Consider the following 24439-nt stretch of genomic DNA (forward strand, 5'->3'; position numbering starts at 1 on the left):
AGATGCACGCGCGCGCACACACACAGACCACACACACACACACAACTTAGAGTACAAAAAGTCAAATACTCACAGTTCCTAATTCACTTTCCTACAAGAACTAAAGTCAGGTTGTGCACGAAAATACTACTTATTGCATGAGAGTTACACCTCCAGAAGTCAAAGACCTACAATGAATATCTTTTTGCTGAATTAAGCAAGGTAAATTCCACTCGCAACTTTCTGTGACTCCAAGACTCTTCTTAGCTATTTCTGTGAACTCTGCTCATTTCTCTGTAATAGCTTTAATTCTTTGATCATATTGAAACGATTGCTGGCAATGCACTGTCACTGGAGAAGAGTAAATGAAGTCAGGATTATCAAAACCAGTAATTAGAGGCAAATTCATTTTTATGTGCTTGGCAAACCTTGCCATTTGATAGAATTAAGTATCTTGTCACATGTGAAATCAATAATTATAAATGATGGATTATTTGCAAGAAAGCAGAAAAAAAGTAGCTTCTAGGCCTGCTTCCAAAGTTAGAATAAATGTATAAATGAGTTAATATTGACCAATTATATATGAAGTCTGATAAATGTTTCAGCACTGCTGGAGGCAGAGAATTTATTAGACTAAGTAATGTAAAATATAATGAAATAGATTAAGTATTTTTTTAATGAAATAATGGTACCCATTAGATCTGATGACTCTAATCTTAATGCAAATTAGCCTGGTTATAGACATTCTTGCCCTGAATTGTAGATGGTGTGTTTAAATTCTCATGCTGAGAACCACCTCAAATCCCCAATTAAAAGAGCTACTAATTATGATAAACTAGACTTAGGAGAGTGGTTACGTCTGAGTGGAGAGGGACAGTTTGGGAAGTTTGGGAAGAGTATCCAGCTGGCTTCAATGGTATTTGTATTTTCTTCTTAAAATCAGCATTGATGTGTTAGTCTAGGTCTTTAGAGAACAGAAAGCAAGTTGGGATTAGACATGCAGGAGTTGTATTAGGAGAAACACTCTTGAGAGAAAATAGGCAGGGAGTCAGGGGAGATGGGAAGAGCCATCCAACCACAAAGCAGGTCCAGTTGTCTGGGAAGGAAAGAGGGGTGGCATGGTGGGCAGGAGAGTCTCAGACAGCTGTGGAGTTTGAAATATTTAGAAAAGTCAGCATGGAAGCCCCAAACCAAAGTCTCCGTCAAAGAAGGCCCAGTCTCTTGGGGTAGTGTGCCTTAGGGAGCCCGTGGGGCATCATGGCTGGGGTCACCCCTGGGAGGTGTGGTCTCAGCACAAACCTAGTGGTGAGGTCCAGAGGGCAGCAGCCTGGGTCACTGGTCCATTGTCGCACTCGGACATCCGAGTCTCCTCTCGCAGACACCACAACCCACCCTCTCCACCTTGCAGCCCTTTGCTTCCCATACATCTTGGGAGCATCTTCTCTGCAGTCCCCACAGGGCCTTCCTTCACGAGAGGAAGCTTAGAAGAGGGACATTTGTGGCAGGAATTATAGCCCCAATAACTGTAGTTGATCTCAGAGCTGCAACTGCATCCTCTCCCTCCTGCACAATCCATTCTGAATCCTGTCACTCTCAGCTATCTCTTGGGCAGGCCTTGGTGTCTCACTGCAGTCTGAGCAGAACCTTTAGGCTGGGGTTGCTGCCTTTGCCCACTCACTGTAACAGTGGGGTGGGGGAGCATCAGGAGGCATCCATGCAGGTCACACGAGCTCCACGTCCACGCCTTCCTGCCCCTGCATAAATGCAGCCCTATGTCACCTCCTGGTAGGTGTCACTAATCAGTAGACACTCTTGCCAATACAGGAGACCCTCTCCTTTCCTGCTGATCCCTGGTGAATTCAGTGGAGTTATAAAAGGGACCACCACAGCCCCCTTTAGACCTTTAATGAATCCATTTATTTTTGCTTTCTCCTGCTTCTCCAACATGAGATTTTTTTTTTAATTTGTTATCTTACCTAGGTAGGTAGTTTCAGAGGTTTCCACTGTGACTTCCTCACTATAAAAATTCTTACCACACAGGACACAGACCCAATATGGAGGTTCCTCCAAACACCAATTGTACCAAATTCAACTGATACTTGGGGACTTCAGAAGTGACCACTGAAGTACATCAAAACATTTTATGCCAAAATATATTTTTTGACATATTTAGAAACGGCCCTGCAAAGCCGTCTTTTGTGGGGGAAATTTGCCTCTGTAGAGAATCTTCAGTAACGCAGCCAGGCCTCCCTTTCCAGGCCTTTCCTGGATCTAACAGAGATTCTAAGAGAGAGTCTGACACCTTTAAAAGTCTGGAAAGAGGCAGCTGCCATCTATTCTGCCTGTGGGATGCTACCTGAGAGGCTTCATTCACATGATAAGGCCACCTTTGCCAGCCAAGACTCTTCCTTTCTCTCTCCTATGACCTGTCTTGCCACTAAAACGTGTTTTTGGCTGTGCTCTGAGCATGCATTCTCTCTGTAACCTCAGGATGGTGTATAAGCTTCTATACCTCACCAGCGGGTTAAGCCTTCATTCTGAAGACCACCGTGTATACATGTTAAATAAATATGCCTTTTCTCCTATTAATCAATCTGCCTCATGTCAGTCATTTCTCAACAGACCTTTAGGGGACCCAGGGCCTTGGCCCACACATCACTTAGTTGGGTCTACACATACAGTGAGCTGACTGTGAGCCAAACTTCATCCAGGGATCCATTTATTACCTGGCACCCACAGGAGCCCTTCTAAGAGGCGAGACACAAAGCATGATGTCTCAGTCGTGATGTCTCAGTCCTGCTTTCCATCACAGCATCTGCTTTTCACGGTGTTGCAAGGTCCTTTGTCTTCCTCTTAGGGTTGTGGCAAGCTCTTCCATCAGTGATGTCAGGACTTGAAAAACGGCTTAAGACTGGACATTGTGTAAGGGATTGTAACTTTTTATGGCGCAACATCCTCAAACTCCTGCTTGCTTCTTCTTGCCTTTTGTTTTTTCTTTTCTTTTCTTTTCTTTTCTTTTCTTTTTTCTCAGACAGAGTCTCACTCTGTAGCCAGGCTGGAGTGCAGTGGCGCAATCTCTGCTCACTGCAACCTCCGACTCCCTGGTTCAAGCAATTCTCCTGCCTCAGCCTCCCGATTGAGATTACAGGCATGTGCCACCATGCTCGGCTTATTTTTGTGTATTTTTAGTAGAGACGGGTTTTCACCATGTTGGCCAGGATGGTCTCGATCTCCTGACCTCATGTTCCACCTGCCTCGGCCTCCCAAAGTGCTGGAATTACAGGCATGAGCCACCACCCTGGGCCTGCCTTTTTAAAGATACAGATGTTAAGTAGCACCCTGGTTGCTGGCCCATCCATTTTGTTTTGAGAAAGGCCATTCTCTGCTATCCATCTCCACAATGCCTTTGGGTCAAACTCCCTCGAATGTCCCTGCACCCTTGCTGAGAGTTTTATGTTGATTGCAGCCTTCTGGCTTGTGGGTTTAAAGTGCAGCCACCTGTGTTACCTCAGGGCTTCCACATCCCTATGGATGTTGATGATCCTGCCCGGGTGATCAAAGAGCCTTCCTATGGTCAGCTCTGGCCTGCAAAGCAGAACTGCCACCGACCCTCTTAGAGACGCCAGTGCTGTCTCTCCATCACATTCCCATGCACATTGCAGCATAAGCCATCGCCTCGGTATCTCCTAGGGGCTTTCTCGAGAAACACGATTTTCTGCTGAGTCATCTGGACTTAGTATATTCATTCCAACACACTGATTTCCCTCAGCCTCTTTTTTCTTACCATCAGCAGTGTTTTTTCTAGGCTTCTAAAAATCTTCCCAGCAGTGAATTCGTCCCAGTATCTGGGACTCTTCTAGGGTGTAAATACCATGAGAGAAAGTGTCTCAAGGCAATGAATGCTCATGTATGCAGTATTGCCATCCTGGCCCTTAAAATCCATCCCCAAAAAGTGAGCAATTCCCCTCGTTCGTGCTAATGCATGCAGGCTAATCTGTCCCATGTGTTTTTTTAATGTCTGATCTCTCTGTGCTAACTTTTCAGTATCAACATATACCCACCTGGTTTATGCTAGGTGTCAACCCTAGTTGTTAGTCTGGCAGCCAGGAAGGGAACTGGGCGCAGAGTTGAGGGAGCACTTGTTGCCTGAAGGATTTTTCAGTATACTCAAGGGAGTGCTACTTCCTAGGAGGGGAGGGTGGTCCAACCCTAGAAGCCATCTGCACAGGGGCAGTGTTGTGGCATCAGCATCCTCAGCGGGGGACATCCCACCCCATGCTCCAGGGCTCCAGACCTTTACACAACAGACCTGTCTTGGCTGAGCATCCAAATGTCTCTGCAACTCAGCAGCTCTAAAAATTAAATTTGTTTGTTTGCTTTCAAATCCGCTTCCTTGAGTTATAATTGTACACAGTAAAAATCGCATAGGTTTAGCAATCCCATTTCTGTGTATATACCCAAAAGAAGTAAAATTAGGATTCTGAAGAGACAGCTGCACCCCCATGTTCACTGCAGCATTATTCACAATAGCCAAGCTATGGACACAATATAAATGTTCATCCTAAAATGAATGGATAAAACAACATGATATTCACATACAAGGGAATATTATTTAGCCTTACAAAAGAAGAAACTCCTTCAGTATGCAACAACATCGACAAACCTAGAAGACATTATGTGGACTGAAATGAGCCGGTCACACACCGTGTTTCCATTTATAGAAAATGACCAGGATAGGCAAATCTATAGATAAATAAAGTAGATTAGTAATTCCCCAGGACTGGTGAGATTGGGGAAAAAATGAAAAGCAACTGCTACTGGGTACAAACATTTTGGGGGAGGATAACAAAAATGTTCTAAAATTGACTGAGATGACAGTTGCACAGCTCCCTTAATACAGTAAAATAATTTGACCGGCACACTTTTTTTTTTTCTGAGACAGAGTCTCACTCTGTTGTCCAGGCTGGAATGCAGTGGGGCAGTCTTGGCTCACTGCAACCTGTGCCTCCTGGGTTCAAGTGATTCTCGTACCTCAGCCTCCCTGAGTAGCTGGGATTACAGGCACGTGCCACCACGCCTGGCTATTTTTTGTATTTTTAGTAGAGATGGAGTTTCACCATGTTGGCCAGGCTGGTCTCGAACTCCTGACCTCTGGTGATCCTCCCAAAGTGCTGTGATTACAGACATGAGCCACTGAGTCTGGCCCTATACACCTTAAGTGGGAGCGTTCTATGGCATTGAATTATGTATCTCAACAAGGCTATTTTTAAAACCGGGCAAATGTGGTGATGAATTTCAGGGCAGAGCAGCTGAAGCCTGTTGGTGACACTCCCTGCACAGTCTGAAGTATGTTTCTATGGCTATCAGAATTAGGTCCCTGGGTGTGGCTGTATGATCGTTTACATTTGTTACTGCGTGTTTTAAGGTCAAAAGTGCTCTACTAACCAGTGGTATTGGCAAATATTCTCATATTCCAAAGCAAATTGCTAGATTATCCATCTGCACACTAGAAAACAAGAGTATACAAAAGTTTGGAAGTTGAAGAGTTCAGGAAGTGGATGTGAAAGAGAGAAGCCCATTTGAGAGAGTTAACATCAAAGAGAGTCCCTCTTTCTTTTGACCTAGAAAGAAGAGTATTTGTCTCTCACCTTAAGCCAAGTGGGAGATAAAATTCTAGAACTTTGCCCTGGAAGTTGTGGGAGCACCAAACTTAGGACCAAAAACACTCCTCAAAATGCCTACAGGAGAGATGCTGCGTCTGGAGTCTCCTGCTTGGCATTGGAGCAATGATAGGGTCCCTGTGGAGAAGTCGCTGCATCCTCACAAAGGTGCTGGCAGGCATCAGGATGTCAGCCTGCAGGTGATGAGACCCCAACAAGCAGAAGCAGAACCAAGTACCCTGGGGCTGGGAGGAGTGGTCTGGAGAACACTGCCTTCACTGAGAAATGTCTTGTCTTAGGACAGCAGGGAATTTTCTCAATGTTGGCAAAAAGTAGATGTTCAATAAATGTTTGCAGTGGTAAATTTATCTTCTCATGTTGTTTCATTCAGGAAAGCAGACAGCACAGGCATTTCAAACAGAAGGAATTTAATTCAGGGAAATTTCCACAGAGGTGATTGAAAAGCCACTCAGATAGTAACAACTGACACGAGTGGCTTTCACCCTCAGCTAGAGAGACAAAGGGACATGGTGATGTTATTAAAGGCGGGAGCCTGGGTCTTAGATTTAAATCTTGAACCATAGCAAACCCATGCAGAGGGAGATGGATCCACACGGGAGACTCAGCTGCCACCAGGCAGCAAGTAAACGAGAGTAAAACCCTGGCTTCCCCTTCCCGTCACTGTCTGCCACTGGGCATCACAGACTACAACCCTCAGCTGTCGGGGGACCCGTCTCCCAGAAACATGAGTTCTCCGGCCTCATCTAGAGCAGGATCCTAGAAAAGTTAGACCCACTGATTTGGAATTTTTGCAATATTTCTGCACTTGAGAAATTTTACATAATGTCAAGAATTTTTGCCATGGAGCAGGTTCCCTTTTTGTTTTAGTTTAGGTGTGCTTGTTTTAGTGTTAGGATCTCTGCCAAGCAGATAATCAAAACTCTCACGTTAGTGACGGTGTTCAAATTTGACATTGTGTCTTTAATCTATTTACTATCAGAAATGGTTTGAGGCACTGCTGTCTGAGAATTAGGAAAATTTAAAAAGTAAATAGAACATTGCTTTCACAGTGTTCCCCACACAGAACTAGAGGGGGGAATCTTATTATTGCATTCACTACAGGAAAACTGGCTCAGGCCAAAAATGAACTCCAGCAAAGGCTCTAAATTTTTCCAGGCCATTTCCCCATCTTTGGACCAACTCTTTAGAGAGTGACATGATCCTAGTTTGGAATTTTCTGTGGAAAGGAAACATTTTCTGTAACGCACAATAGGGCTGTATTGAGTTAAATGGGTGTGTTCTGGACTGGCTAACAAGCCTGCAGTTCTTAAAGTCAGTATTTTAAAACTATAACAACAATTATTTAGGAGAAAGAGAAAGTAATCTACGGGGGAAGAGTGGTCAGAGGTAATCATTGTTCTCTTTCACTTTTATTGTTCTGAGCAATTCAGCTCTAGCCCCTAATTTGCACATCAACTGTAAAAAAAGCGAAAAGAAGGACTACAACAACAGTAACAATAACAACAACAGACCATGTGGTTAATCAGAAATATTCTCTTAGAAAATATGATTGGATATTTTTTCTTTATTTTATTTTTATTTTTATTTTTTTTTGGAATAGGGTCTCACTCTGCCACCCAGGCTGGAGTGCAGTGGTGCAGTCTTGGCTCACTGCAGCCTCAGTATCCCCAGTTCAAGCAATTCTCCCACCTCAGCCTCCTGGGCAGATGGGTTTACAGGCACATGCCACCACAACCGGCTAATTTTTGTGTTTTTTGTACAGACAGGATTTCGCCACGTTGCCCATGCTGGGGATATTTTTTCTTACTCTATACAGCTCTCTCACTGAGAGGGATTCAGTAAAGATCCCGCTCTCTACCCGTTGACATTTCCAATGCCCATTAAAGGTTGGCATCCAGCAATGCCTAATTTGATGATTTCTTAATATGATCTCAATCTAATGGACTGGAAAATGTAGGTCACTGATGGAATTGACACAAAAGTGGATGTTAAAAGGTAGAACTTGAGGATGGGAGAGAGTCTCAGATAAAAGGGAACAGAGGTAGCTCTAAGGTAGAGTGCTTGAGAAAATGGCTAGATGACATTTCAGACAGGAGGCTGGGGAAGATATTGCATCATTGCATTGGCCCCGTTTTAAATGTCAGTGAAATCCAAAGAGGAAGCATCCATCTGGGACTGGAGCACAAGTGCTCAAGCGAAGCCCAGAAAGCCCATGGAAAGCCTCTGCTCCCATCACATCTGCTAAGGATGTACCAGCCAAAACAGGATACATGGACAGGCCTGAATTCTATGGGGCTACCCTTGTTCCCATACCACAATCCTAATTACTACAGAGAAATCATACATCTTCATAATTGGTAGAAAGTCACCATTTTTTTGTTTTCATTAAAATAATTGTCTCAGTTGTTCTGCGCTTGGCGAGGTAAACCCCGGGGCTTAGACTTGGTTCCAGGATCACGCTATTTTAAGCTAATTTTTATTGAGTGTTAGGATCCCTGCCAAGCACATGATGGTCTCCTCACCAGAGATCATATCACGTGATTGGGAGTACGTCCCAACCCTGCACCTCGCCAGTGGGGAAATGCCAAATCTATAAAAACGAGTGTAATAATAGGATCGATCACATCTGTTGCTTCCAAGAATAAGATAATGCATGTAAAAGTGCACAGCCCATCGCTCACAGTAGATGTGTCATAAGTGATAGCTGGTTTTGTTGTTATGTATAAAATTCTGGTAACCTTAGTAGCACCCCATAGGAATGTTAATTAGGATTAAGTTAGATGGCTAATGCAAGCTAAATTCCTTCACTAACTCCCTTGCTTTCTCTCCTTTTTTTTCTTCTGCTTCTCTTACATTGCATACCCATATCATATAAGCGAGAGGGAATGTGGAAAGAAAAAGTATTAAAGATGAATTTATACTTCTCTTGGAGTAAAAAAGGTAAATGTATTTTTGGATAGCAATGATCTTCCCAAAATGTTACTTAGTCAAACTCTTGGGACTAATATTATGAAAAGTATTGGGAGTGAGCAGAATGTTTTCCATGGGAGTTTAGAACAATTTAATGTGTTCCATTATTCTGGTAGAGAAGGAAAACACAAATAAAAAGAGAATTACTCTTCAGGAAAAACAAAAATGAAGGCTGTGCCTTCTCTGCACTAATCTTTTCAGATTTTTCTTTCTAGTAAACTTTTAGAATATTTTCTTGATTTAGCATTTGCTAGTAAATATGACGGCTAGTTCAAATCAACATTACTAAACAGTTGAAAAAATTAAAATGCCACAGATAGGAACATATGTAATTTTTTTCTCATTCCTCTATGTAATTTATACTTCATTTTATAGCTTCAAAAATCCCTGCAAGCATTGCATAAGAAGAAAGCGTTAATTAAGAAGAAAGATGGATTGATTGGAACAATATGTTTGGCTTATTTTATAAGAAAAATAAAAAAGATCTACAAATTGGTTATATAGTGTTGCATGTCATAAAAACCTTGCCAATATTTCTGTATATACCAAAACATAAAACAGGAAGATAGAATGGAGAATGCTTGGAAAATAAATATTTTAAAGTTGCTATGCAAATGTCTTACATTTATGCATACATTTGGATAACTTTAGCTGCTTATAACATGTGAATATGTAAATGAGAATATGCATGTTTATAATACTGTGGGAGAAGATCACCCTACCCAAAGAATGAATGCAATTGATGTGAAACTAATTTGGAAAACTTAAATCTCAACCTGAACTCCGTATGCCTTCTCTAGTATCAATGCATTTACTTCCCCGTACTGATATTAGAAATTGGATTGATTGCCACATTGTTAACCATGACCAAATGTGATAGTAGTTTCTCACACCATGTACATACTTTGGTGATGAACTTGCTGTACTGCCAGTCATTTGACAGCATGTGACTTGGTGATTTCTAGAATTTGCTTTGATTTTTTTGTACCTAATAGAGAATGTATTTTAAAATAGATTTTGGATTAAAAAGAACTTCTGTTGCTGGTCAGCATGACATAAAAGGGTCTGAATTTGCCTTCCTGGCTGACACAACAAATAGGAAAACATATTAGAAACAAGAGTTTCTGACCTCAGGCCTCAGGCAGTGCAGGGCAACTGGTCACTGAGAGAGGAGAAATAAATGAGGTGAGCCCTACAATTGCTTCAGCTTACTACCAAGAGAAAACTCCCAGGCTGCCAAGTAAAGAGGAAGGTACTGGCAGAGCCTAGATATCTCCAGTTGCAGAGGCAGAGATGGAATTCCAGGAAGATAAGAGTGGCTGAAGTTCCTAGGTGAGAGTAGCTGGAAAGAGAATTGCTGCAGTTCAATAACCATATACTAAACAAACAATCTCTACCCATACACCTCCTCATACATGAAAGGCAACTCAAAATGGATCAAAGACCTATAAGGTTTCTAGAAGAAAATTAGGATAAAATTGTATGAAGTGAAGTCAAAGTTTTATTTACTATAACATCTGAAGCATGATTCATAACAGATTCTGAAAATAATACATTTGATTGAATAAAAATGAAGACCTGCTGATCAAAAGACAAGGATGGTTGGAAATGTTTGTGAATGATGCATTTTTTTTTTTTGATAAAAGGCTTGGATCCAGAATATGTAAAATGTTTCCACAAATAATATAACATTAATCTAATAAAAAGAGAAAAGGATGAAATATAAGAGTTTGTAGGCCGGGCGCGGTGGCTCAAGCCTGTAATGCCAGTACTTTGGGAGGCCGAGGTGGGCGGATCACGAGGTCAAGAGATCAAGACCATCCTGGCTAACACGGTGAAACCCCGTCTCTACTAAAAATACAAAAAAAATTAGCCAGGGGTGGTGGCGGGTGCCTGTAGTCCCAGCTACTCGGGAGGCTGAGGCAGGAAAATGGCGTGAACCCGGGAGGCAGAGCTTGCAGTGAGCCGAGATCGCACCACTGCACTCCAGCCTGGGTGACAGAGCAAGACTCTGTCTCAAAAAAAAAAAAAAAAAAAAGCAAAAAAAAGTTTATAAAGATGCTAAACATCATTATTCACCATGGAAATGCAAATCAAAACCACGATGGGACACCACTACCCTCCTATTAAAATACGCCAAATTAGAAAGATTGATCATGCCAGATATTGGTGAGGATGCAGAGGGCCTGGAACTCTCACACATTGCTTGTGGGAATGTAAAAATGTACGTGATTTGGAATACGTTGGATACATTTTGGCAGTTTCTTAAACTTAACTATACACCTACCCTATGACTCAGTAGTCACACTCAAGGTGTTTACTCAAAAGAAATGAAAGGGTATCTCCTTACAAGTTGTACGTGAATGTTCACAACAGATTTATTTGCATTAGCCAAAAGAGTAGAGACAGCCCACATGTCCATCAATATGTGAACAGAAAAACACTTTGCTGTTTATCTGTACAAGGCAACGCTGTCCAGCAGTGAAAAGGAATGAGTTATTGGTACACCCAACAGCATAAATGATGAACATCCAAATAAATACACTGAGTGAAAAAAAAAGGCAGACAAAAGGACTACACACCATGTGTTTCCATTTGCACAAAATCACGGAAAATTTAAACTAATCTATAGTGACAGAAAGTCAATCCAGGGTTGCCTAGAGCAGGAGTGACGAAATACAAAAAGCCATGAAGAAAACTTTTGGGAAAGCTATTATTGTTCATTATCTTGATTGTGGTAATAATTCCAGCGGTATAAACATATTTCAAAACTTATCAAATTGCATACTTTAAATATATGCAATTTATTATATGTCAATTATAAGGCAATAATGCTCTATTAAAAAGATAATTTTGAAGGATGAAAAAGCATCATGTAGATGAGAGAAAATAAATTACTCTGTGTAAAAGCGCCTGTAACTAAGTAACTGAATTGCTTATCTATCATGCAAAAGTGACCTCAAAAATGTAAAATTATAAGTATTGTTTTCCTTAGGCAATTTTCATAGTAACCTATAAGATCCAAATCTTTGATAGTCTGTATGTTACTTATAAGAAAACGAAGTAAGAATTAATCATGTAAGTTTTAGCTTAGGGTTGAGCTGACAAGTTTAATTTCCCAATTTATTTGCTGGAAACATGATTTGCATATATGAATACATGTGCAGTTGCATTTTTAATATTGTCTTCAGTGTTATTTATACAGAGATAATAAGAGATATGTTATTCACTTCTTCAAAATTCACCCTTTACCCCACAGGTGGTCGCATCTCTGGGATCTGGTGATATTGGTAGTATTAAGCATCCCATATTAGATTCGGGGTGATGAGAATTTTATGATAGAAGGAAAGACTCGTTATTAGCTTTATATGACTTCCATTATTGTTAGCACCAGTAAAGATGTTTAATCACTATTGCCTTATAATGGTGTTATAAATTCAGGCTAGTCAAACACATAGTAAGTACATCCTTGCTTACCTATCCTAAACCTGCAGCGGACATGATTAATCAATCCCGTCTCTTTTTGAGGCAAGGCTTTGGTCTTTGAATTCCTCTCACCACATTACCCAAGACAAATACCATGTACAGGGAGACAGCGCATGGAAGCTAAGCGTAATTTGCTATCCTAGCTCTAGAGAATTCTGTACAAACTGACTGTTCTGGTTGTGTGCAACTTGGCGTGGAATGTGTAATATCTACCCAATAATTAAGAGGCTTATTAAGAATAACAATGGTAATGCTTTTCCTTTTATATAAATTGCTTTTTTTAGTACAAATGTAATACATGCTCATTAGAGAGAAATTTGGAAGGCACCAAAAATCACAGAGAAATATCATTATTGCACCTAATCCCACCGCCAAGATAGAAACGCTAGTGCCATCTTGCGGTCATTTTTTTTTTAGCTATTTTAGACTTTAATGTAAATGGTAATAATATACAAATGAGTGAGTGCACACTGAATAGTGCCCAATTCTTGCAAAATCAGTGGTGACTTAGAATGCTACTTGCAAATGATTCAAACGATAAAACCTGTCTCTTGTAATTTTGTTCCTGTCTATAAAGAAGGAACCAAATACTAGGACAACACACCTGCTGCGCAGGCAGGAGACACTGGCCTGGTTGGTGGTAGATTGGGCCTCGGGGCTCATATTCACTTTTAGTGGTGGTCGAGATAAGAGTTACATGAAAAGTATGGTATGAAGAAAAGGCTTGGTTATGCCATGGGTGAGGGATTGTCACAACAACCCAATGCAATGGAAAATTAAAAAGTATAATTATTAAAAAATAAGTGTTTAAAAAGGACATCCGGGCTGGGCACGGTGGCTCATGCCTGTAATCCCAGCACTTTGGGATGCTGAGGCAGGCAGATCACCTGAGGTCAGGAGTTCAAGACCAGCCTGGCCAACATGGTGAAACCCTGTCTCTACTAAAAATACAAACAATTAGCTGGGTGTGGTGGCACACGCCTGTAATCCTAGCTACTTGGGAGTCTGAGGCAGGAGAATTGCTTGAATCCGGGAGGCAGAGGTTGCAGTGAGCTGAGATCTTGTCATTGCACTCCAGCCCGGGCAACAACAATGAAACTCCATCTCAGAAAAAAAAAAAAAAAAAAAAAAAACCCTCCGTAATCTGTGGTGGTAGATGATGATTTCCATCCATTACACCAATCACCTTGCATCAACTCTTCAGTACTAAGTAGCTATTCTTCTAGACATCTAATTTCTTGAGGTCAGAGACCACCTTATTCATCATCATGTTTAGAAAACTGTGGTGTTGTGTTTGTCAAGATGGGCTAGGTCACACTGTGTTAACAACCCCCGAATCTCAGTGCCGTAAGGTGGGGCTTGGCAAACTATGGCCCAAGAGCCAAATCAAATCCACAAACTGCTATTGTAAATAAAGTTTTGTTGGAACACAGCCATTCCCATTTGTTTCCAGATTGTGTATGACTGATACCACTCTCCAAGAGCAGAGGTGAGTAGCTTCGGGAAGAGTCTAAAATTCTTACTATCTGGGTCTGTAGAAAAAAACAAGTTTGCCAATCTCTTGCTTAAAGCAACAAAGAACTATTTTGCAGTCGTACTAAAGATGCACAGTCGGTTGGTCTTGGAGGTGAGGCCCTGCAGATTGTATTCACTCGGGGACTCAGTCTGATGGATGACAACCTTGGCACACGCTTCCGTGATCACACTGCAGGAATGAGCGTGGAGGGTGAAATGCCAGCAATCAAATTATTCCAGCTGTGGATAATTTCCGCTCACACATTATTAACTACTCAGAGAAAATTCCCCTGCCTAACTTGAAGAAAGCCAGCAAGTGCAGCCCCTCCCCGTGTGTTCAGAGGAAGTGGACACCTGTATATCAGGGCAACATATCTGCCACAGAACTAAGTAACATTGTCCTTGAATAAGCAAATAAACAAAAAAAAATCATAACCAGTTTATGCAATTCATTTGCTTTTAATTTCAAATACATTCATTAACCATCCTCTGTGAAACATCATGCTAGATACTAGTACATCCACCTGCCTTCATGTAACTTACATTCTAGTAGGGGAAACTAAACGTTAAATTCTCCATCTTAACGTAGACAACATTTCTCCATTTCACATTAATCTCTGTACCTTTCTGGTTTAAAAAAAAAAATCGTGGGTTGTAATATCTCCTAATTACTAACTAGGGCAGTATACTGCTAGTATTATTATTGCTATTCAGAGGGAGAAATTTTGGATACTTTTCCAAAGTCATCCCTGACGATCAGCAAATTTATTTCTAATGCCATCAGAGTCTGTACTTCTCAATCAAATCTGAATCTGGGGAGCATTTTTTAGTGTTGTTTTTAACCTAGGATCTGATTTATAATTACCTGGCACTTCAAAAATACAAATTTATTTGTGGATAATTGATTAACAGGCGCTGTCAGAGAAAAGCCTCTGATTTAAGCATCTCACACAGATTGAAAGAAACACCCAGCCAATAGGTAATCTTGTTTAGTTGAAAGAATGACAGGAAGGGAATTTTCCTGGACTCCCATCTCCAAAATTTATTTTTTAGCTAAAAAGTGCTAGCTCCTGCTGTGAGTGGACAAAAATGAGGGTGAGAAACATGAAATATAAATTAGTTCTGACTATAGCAAAATGCAAAACACTCAATGACTGAGAAATGTTTTTATACACCTACAATGGTGATGCCCCAAAAGGCTCACTGTCCCTTCTCCCGCTGGGACCGCATATTAATTCCAGAGGAAAAACCTCAGGTATTGTTTTTCATCCCGTAAACAAATAACATCAGTCTGTTGGTGGGGACACAAGCTGGAGTTGCATCATAGAAGGTTGACGATCTGATGAAACATGAACATCAGGGCCAAAGACAAATGCTCAGAAAAAACGTTCAGTTAGAGATCAAATGTTTCAACTTCATAATGCTTTTCCTTCCTTGACAATGAAGGAAATGCAGGTCTGCAGGCATCAAGAGGAAACTGTTACAGCTGAGGTTTCATTGCATGAGCAACAATTATTGGCTGTAAAACCCACACATTATAGTGGAAGGAAAACGTCTCTCTACTAAAATAACCTTAGTCCAACTTTGAGTATTGGCACAAATGTTCTTTTGGTTTCAGTGATTTTTCTCTATTTCTTTTTCTCTTTTCTACTTTATTGACTTCTATTTTTTATTACTTTTTTTTTTTTCTGTTTCTGATGGACTTGATGTGCTTTCTTTTTCTTTTTCTGATGTTTTAACGTAAACAGTCAGGTCATTGATTTTAATACTGTTATTGTAGTATGTGTTTATTGGTAATTTTTTTCTCTAACTATAATTGTGGGTGTGTCTATTTCTACTTTATGCACCACCAGTGTTTGCTGCATATATTTAGAAGCTCTTTTATTGGTACATAATCATTTGGTATTATTGTATCATTCAATCGATGGCTCATTTTTCATAAGGAAATGACCCTAATTCACACCAATAGTGCTTTTTCTGAAACCTACTTATCTGATATTAATAAAGCCTCTTCAGCTTTTTAAAATTAGTATTTCCAGGGTGAATATTTTCCTATATTTTTCTTTTAATCTAACTTGTGTCTTTATATTTACACTGGGTTTATCATTGTGTTTTTTGGGGGTTTTTTGTTTTTGTTTTTTGATTTAAGTTTCTTGTAGAAAGCATATAGTTTGCTTGTTTATATCCAATTTCACAATTTATGTCTTTTTTATTGTGATCTTTTGACCACTTATATTTTATCAGTTACTGCTATGGTTAGGTTTAAATCAAACATCTTGTTATTAATTTTTTTTATGTATCTTCTATTATTTTTATTCCCTTTTAACATCTTTTGCCTTTATTTACACTTTAACTGTTATTTACTTCCACTTTAAATTCCATATTCTCCTATTAGCTTCCCGATTTTTAGATGGGTGATTTAAGATTTATAGTCTATAATTTGAATTCATTGCAGCCTACTATGAAGTCATAATGTACTACTCCATGTATGGTACAGGAAACTAATAGGAATAGTTTTCCAATGTTTCCTGCCCAACTTTTATACTCTTGCTGTCACACATTTTATTTCTGTGTTTTAAGCCTAAATCTCACAATAATTGTTTTTCTTCCTTAAACGGTCTTTTATCTTTTAAAGATATTTAAGAAATAGTAATCATTTTATAATTCTCCCACGCATTTATTATTTCTTATATTCTTTAATCCTTTCTGTAGACTAGAGTTCCAGTTGCTTTTATTTTCTGCTGTCTGATTAACTTTTTTATATTCCTTTCAGTGGTATGGTGGTTTTAAATCTCTCAACTTTTACCTAACTGAAAACATCTTCATTTCTCCTTCATTTTTGAAAAATATTTCTGTGGGATTTAGAATTTTAGGATGACATACTTTTGTGCATTAATCTAAAGTCGCTTCACCACCCTCTTACTGGCACTGGTTCTGCTGAGAATTGTGCTGTCATTGTTAATTTTGTCTTTCTGTACATAATGATTCTTTTTTTTTTTTTAAGACAGTCTTGCTCTGTCACCCAGCTGGAGTGCAGTGGTGCAACTGTCTCTCACTGCACCTCCACCTCCCGGGTTCAAGAGTTTGTCCTGCCTCAGCCTCCTGAGTAGCTGGGATTATGGGACCCCGCCACCACGCCTGGCTAATTTTTATATTTTTAGTTGAGATGGGGTTTTGCCATGTTGGCCACGCATCCTTTTAAAAGATGTTTTCTTTAACTTTTATTTTCAACAAATTAATTATGATACAACTTTGCATAGTTTTGTTCATGTTCATTGTAACTGAGGATCCTTGAGTTCCTTAGAACTGCAGATGTATAGATTTTATTTTTTAAAAAAATCTTATTCGAACATCTCCCCTCCATTTTTTCTGTGACTTCAGTTAAATATACATCAGGCTGATTGATACTGTCTCACAGCTCACTGATGGTTTGCTCATTTCCTCCTGGCTTTTATCGTTGTGTTACATTTTGGATAATTTTCAGTTGCTGTATCTTCAAGTTCACTGTTTTTTCTGACAGTGCTATTAATCCTAGAGTATACACACATATATGATTTTCCATTTCTAGAGGTTTAATTCGGGCCTTTGTTTCCACATCTCCACTTACACCCACACTTTTCAATATCATTTTGACCATATAAAATATGCATATAATGTAATAATATAATATATTAATAATAAAATATAAATTAATATATACTATGTTATATATTAGTAACAATACATTGTATATTAATATATACTATATTGTATATTAACAATATGCATTATGTATTTACATGTAATATATACTACTAATAAAATATATTATTTATATAATATATTAATAATAAAATCATTATTATACATATATACATAATAACTATTTCTATCATATATATACATATATGACATATATATGTATGACAGCTATTTTATTATTATGGTTTAATTATATTATCTGTGTCATTCCAGTGTCTGTTTCTATTGATTGAAATAAAATATTTTCCTCCTTACGAACTACATTTTCCCATTTATTTGTATAGTAATGAAGATGAGCATGGTTATCAGCTGACCATGAATATTTGAGTGACCTCAGCCCACACCACATGAAGCACAGACAAACTGTTCCAACTGAGCTATGCCCAGAACCCTAACCTATAGTATTGAAATCAAGTCGATTTTTGTCATTTGAAGTAACTAAGGGTTGGGTTGGTTAGCAAAACTAAGCGATATTCCTGGTAAATATTCATAAAGTCATGAATGAATAGCTCAGAACATCTCAGAACTTTGAAAAAAATTTTAGTGACATATCCATATAATATTTGTATTTGTTTGTATACATATACAGTGTGGATTTTTACATATTTATCTCTCAGTGTTCCAGTTAAGGAAATGCAATTCTTCTCGTTAAGACTGAAATATACTCTTCCGATTATATATAAATAGTGCCTTATTAAAATTATAAATATAGACGTTTCTAGCTGAAAGAAACCTAAGATATCTTCCACTCCAGAATGCTGAATTTAGAGATGGGAAACTTGAGGGTCAGAAAGTAGTGAAATAATTTGCCTGAAGTCATGCAGTCACTTTGTTTCAAGGTCAGGATTCAAAGCAGGAGACCAGAGCAAGGAGGCTGTTCCTGTGGGGAGGGGACTCTTCTCTAATGGGTCCAGGAAGGCTATGCCTACCGATGCTATAGTGAGAAACAGAATGAACACAATCTGTTTTGGGGAATGGTATTGCTGGTGAAGTCAGTGTTATGTTTGTGTGTAGGCACAATGGCTTAGACAGACCCTTGGGAGAAATCCAAGGGGAAAAAAAAGCAAAACAAGAACGATGGTTATGCTCATGGTGTGAGGGTGGGATTAATGGTGATTGCATAGGTTGTGATGGTGGTAGTGATGGTGGAGGTGATGCTGCTGCTGGAGATGGTGGTGGTGGTGTTAGCGATAGTGGAGGTGCTTGATGACGGTGGTGGTGATTATAGTAAAGGTGCTGATGTGGATGGAGGTGATGGTGTAGGTGATGATGTTGCTGGTGGTGCTAGTGGAAGTGATGATGGTGGTGGTGTTAGCAATAGGGGAGGGGCTGATGCGGGTGGTGGTGATTATAGTAAAGGGTGCTGATGTGATGGAAGGTAATGGTGTAGGTAATGATGTTGCTGGTGGTGCTAGTGGAAGTGAATGATGTTGGTGGAGGTGATGGTGATGGGGTTGGTAGTGATAGTGAAAGAATTGACAGTAGAGGTGATAGTGGAGGTGATAATGGTGGTGTAAGTGATAATGGTGGTGGTGGTGTAGTGGAGATGATGATAGTGGAAGTGATGGTGGTGGAGAGGATGGTGGTGGTGTTCATACTGGAGGTGGTGATGGAGACAGTGAAGGTAATGATGATGGTGGTGGTGATGATTGTGGAGGTGATGGTAATGGAGGTGGTGTTGATAGTGAAAGTGGTGATAATAGTTGAGGTGACAGTGCAGGTGATGATGGTGGTGGTGGTGATAGTGGAGGTGATGATAGTTTTGGAGATGATAGTGGAAGTGATGGTGGTGGTGGTGATAGTGGTGATGATGGTAGTGATACTGGAGGTGATGATGGTGGTGGTGGTGATAGTGGTGATGATGATGGTAGTGGTGATAATGGAGGTGATGGTGGTGATAGTGGAGGTGATGATGATGGTGGTGGTGGTGATAGTGGTGATGATGATGGTAGTGGTGATAATGGAGGTGATGATGGTGGTGGTGGTGATAGTGGTGATGATGGCAGTGGTGATAGTGGAGGTGATGATGGTGGTGGTGGTGGTGATACTGAAAGTGATGATGATGTTAGAGGTGATCATCCAGGTAATGATGGTGGTGGTGGTGATATTGGAGGTGGTGATGTTGGTGGTAGTGATATTTGAGGTAATGATGGTGGTGGCAGTGATGTTTGTGTTTTTTCAAGCATCTGCCTTGAAAGCAAAAATAGTATAAAACTGTCAGGTAGAAAATAGGGGTGATATTACATAGAAGTGGGATACATTCACTGCTAATGCCTCAGAACTTCAGATATAGTTACTCATTCCAATCCTTGGAAGTCATAGCATCATGTATATACCCCAATTCATTGTCAAGGATGCTTTGGTGTATCTCTACAAGCAAAAAAAAAGAAGCCAAAGAAAAATTAAAATTAATACTTAGTTACTAGAAAATATCTCTGCACATTAATGTTACTAGAAAAATAGCGTATCTCTGCACATGTCAGATATTATCGCCCTTTAATTTTTATTTAGTATTTTAAGTTTCATGTCTTTTTTTAAAGAAAAAATTTTTATTATAATGATAACACAGATTTGAGTAGAATAAAATTACTCAAGCCCACAATGCAAAACTACATTTTGTCTGTACTCATAATTTCCACAAGGGTGTGTGTGTGTGTGTGTGTGTGTGTGTGTGTGTTTGAAATATATTCACATTGTTTGCTCATTAGGTTTTCAGAAGATAGTGAGATAGTTGATATATTTCTCATTTAAGGGTTTATGAAAGAGGATGGACACAGAAAAGCCAAGCAATACAAATAATTGTACATCAGCATTTTAGTTAACAAGATATCATTAAGGAAGAAAAGTAGAAGTTGTAGAGACAAGGTCAGAATTTAATTGGTAAAAATTTGCAGCACTTGCTTACCCATTTTCAACGAAAACAAATTTCTATATGCTATAAATTCATTTCTTCAAGGGAAAACATTTTCTTATGAGTTTTAATTGTTTAGACTTTTACCAAAATACACTTTAGCCTCAGCATGCGCCTGTTGTTATTTGAGCAGCAAGTCGTTATTTAAAACTGGCCAGAGGTTAGGAGCAGAAGTCATTCAGCTGAAACTGTTTAAAATGACACACCATTTCTCAAGTTTAGAGAAGCCAAAGAATTCACTGCACTAATGGATTATTGATTTCAGTAGGGGAGATGTGTTTAAAAGGTGTTGATTTGGTCTGTAAAAGACTTCAAAATGGCTTGTAAAACTGAGATAGAAATAGCACGGCAATGAGGAATATGCTTTGAAACAGCTTCCAGTGGGTTGTAGTTTAGCTCAGCCCCAAAAGCTATTCATAGCCTGTAGTGAAGCTCCATCTTTAAAATACATCTCCATCCTATACACTGGGGCTCTGTACCCATAAGTAATACATCAAAGGACCATAGTATGTTCTTTCATTTTTTTTTTCATGTTAAATTTGGTTTGAAAATGTAACTTTTGATATGTGTGACATCATCTTATAAATGTTAGTGAAAATCAAAATGATTTAACAATTTCAGGCATCCTTGTTGTAACCATATAATCTTGTGTGATTCGACATGTATAGGTTTATATTTGCATGAAAAACATGACTCAAATATTCAGACATTTTGTTCTTGAGTGACACAGTTAGGGCAGTTTCCATGATACTCTATTTTGTTTACATTTTCTATTTTTCTTGTTCCTAAAATGATTTTCTAATACGCCGTTTAAAGCTGTTATGGAATTGTACCACTCAGATTTCAAGAATTTTTGCGCAAAAAGCACAGTACGCTAGGAGTCCCCAGCCACAGCATTTCTGCAGCACAGCGTGGAGTCCTGGGTCTGGTTATCTTACTCAGAGTGAGACGTGTCCATGGGTAGCCCTCCTATGAGTTCCCTGATGGACCGGCCAACGCTTTTTCAGAGCACCACTGCCACCTGGAGCTCTGCCTCTCCGATCTTCCTTCCTTCAGCCTGTCCTTTCGCGGGTGTCAGACCTGCATTGTGGCATGGTTGCCCCTTCCTGCTGTTTCTCCCCGTCCATCTATCACCAATGCTACGCTCAATACACCTCACACTTCTTATTCTGCCTTGGTGTTTGTTTCCTGGAGAAATTAAACTGACATGGAGGATAGACCGCATTCATCTGAAAAGGAGACCAACATCTACAACTGATGTGTGTTCTGATATGTCTTCTTATTTGTTACAATTCAGTCTGATGGGAAAAAAAAAAGATAGTCCTCCTTTCAGTGACTAATTCGTGTTGATTTATGTTCACCTCACTGGGACTCATACCTCACTTGGTCTCATATTCTTTTATCCCCTCAAAAGTATTGAAAACACGAGTTCCTCTTGAGCAGCTCTGGAATTTAAGGATGTGTTTGTGGCAGAACTGTTGGACAGGTTGTGATCATCACTTCCTACTGAACCCCAATCACTTTGTTGAATCCCAATCGCGTCTTCAGCGGCAAATCTGACCAGGAAAAGCTCATCTAGGCATGTCTGTCTTGGACATCCATAAGCATAGATGTGCTTCTTACGAACCTAGTGCCACCGCAACACAGGAACTCGGCGAGGATGTGACACTGAATCTAGGACAGCCACTTGGGGACACTGACGTAACGAGTCATAGGAAACAAGGCAACATGGCATGAGAGGAAGCATGGAAGGGAGGAAAGAGACTGGGTTTCTGATAGCGTTGTGGAGCTGCTCTGCCATCCCTGAGAGCAAATGCCAATGGGTATCTCAAGTCAAGAGCAAATGCCTTGACAGTTTAAGTCACTGTGTTTATCACAGGTGGACAAAACAGAGAAGATATACCTCTTCTCTCATTTTTATCAGTTTCATTTTTGTTTGTCTGTATGTGTTTGTTGTTGTTAACAGCATTGCCCTTTGACCTGAAACCTAAACAACAGCAACAACAAATGTGCTTCTCCTTCAGAGTCTCATGAACGTTACACCAAATTACCTCTCCCCCAATTCCTCCGCACCCCATCACCAAACACAGCAGTTACTACTTGGAACCTTAGGTTTCATAGTACACAGTTTAAAACCCACTAATCTATTTTTAAAAATAGAGTAGACTTATTTAAATACATTGTTGTTACTTCTTCAAAACAGCGATTCAAGTATTAACACAAACATTGGTGGCATCAGTAAAGTTTCACCTTTTGGTAACGTAATTTTTTTAATTGCAGTGATGCTGTCTTGAGAACATAAAAATATCAACTATGACTGACTCTTGCACCGTTATTTAGAAATGTTTTATGAGAGAGTGTGGTATTTTTTCCTCTGTACTGTTAATCCTGAACAGCTAAGCGTTGTGCTAATTGTCTGTTTATTGAATTATATTAATGCACATTGAGATGTGTCTTCCTTTCAGACACATTCCCCATTTAACTCATGAATGTTTAATATCTTTTTGGAACAGGTATCGATTTTAGCTTAACCCTTTATGACTTATTATCTAAATCGATATTTTGTAGAGAGATTTGACTATGAGATGATTATAAAATTACTATGGGCAGGGTGCGGTGGCTCATGGCTGTAATCCCAGCACTTTGAGAGGTGGAGGCAGGCGGGATCACAAAGTCAGGAATTCGAGATCAGCCTGGCCAATGTGGTGAAACTCCGTCTCTACTAAAAATACAAAAATTAGCCGGGCGTGGTGGCAGGTGCTTGTAGTCCCAGCTACTTGGGAGGCTGAGGCAGGAGAATTGCTTGAATCCAGGAGATGAAGGTTGCAGTGAGCCGAGATTGCACCACTGCACACCAGCCTGGCAACAGAACGAGACTCCATATCAAAAGAAAAAAATTAAAGTTAAAAAATTATAATAAAATAAAATGAAACAATAAAAAATATAAATAAGATTATTATGTATTTCCAGAACATGTAGAAAAACTTATAGGACTAAACGAATAGCTACATTAAATAACAACTAGGTTTTTAGTCACAAATATTTAATATATAGTAAACATCAACTAAAATGACAATCGTATGTTGAAATTATGAAAAAACATACAGATTACAAATTAATGATTACAAGTGGAATCATGGTGAGTACATGCCAGATGACTTTTATGTTCCCAACGAGGTCATTACCTTTCTAGTTCAGGTACATCATTTCAGAACAGCAGAATTTAACAAGTTATAGATCTATGACCATAGACATATGATTATCTATGTGTATATGTACACACATAAACACACATACATGCATATACACATACATATATGTATATATAAGACACATGTATATGTTCATTTTTCCTTTCTTTGTAATGTTTAATATTATTAGAGCACTTATCAAACTTTCCCCAACACATTTGGAACAGTCTTCTCTCTAATTTGTCTTGAATTTTTATATACATCTTTCAATTATATCATAAACTCTATGAGAGAAACCTCTTGTTTGTTTACTTTTTAAATATCTTTTATGAAAGAGTAGGAACCTAACCAATTACAAGGCTTCAGTCAATATCCATCACCAGATCGTGTAGAATAAGATTGCAAACACTGTTCATGCCCATCAATTATCTGTTGGACTCGATTAGCCAATTTATTAGATCTTATTATTGAGTAAGCCAGGCCATCATGGAGCTCACCGATCCATGTTGAGGAAAAATAAGGAAATCAAAGATTTACATCATTAAAAGAAAAATAGCAACTATAACAAGAGCTGTTGATGAGAGGAGGCTGAAGGGATCTACCTGCCTTGGCCTCCCAAAGTGCTGGGATTGTGGGTGTGAGACACTGCATGCAGCCTGCCTCTAATTTTTGTGGCAATCTTATTGGCATGGGACTCTGGTAAGTTCTGTGATGCACACGCACGCAAAGTGCTAGGGTGCTCTCGCTATCCAAGCACCCATTAACTAGGGACAGGGAAATAGGAGAAGCAAAGTGCATTCAGTGTTGTGCTTTCAAGGTTAATAGTAAGAATAGGTGGCACCTGTCTAGGATCAAGGGGATGTTATCATCCCCATTCTATAAAGGAGGAAAGGAGAAACAGAAGGGAAAGAAAAGCTTGAATCTTGACAACTATGCTGCAGTCTTGCTCAGGAACCTGCAGTTGT

This window comes from Homo sapiens, chromosome 12 (genome assembly GCF_000001405.40).
Source record: "Homo sapiens chromosome 12, GRCh38.p14 Primary Assembly".
Classification (NCBI taxonomy): domain Eukaryota; kingdom Metazoa; phylum Chordata; class Mammalia; order Primates; family Hominidae; genus Homo; species Homo sapiens.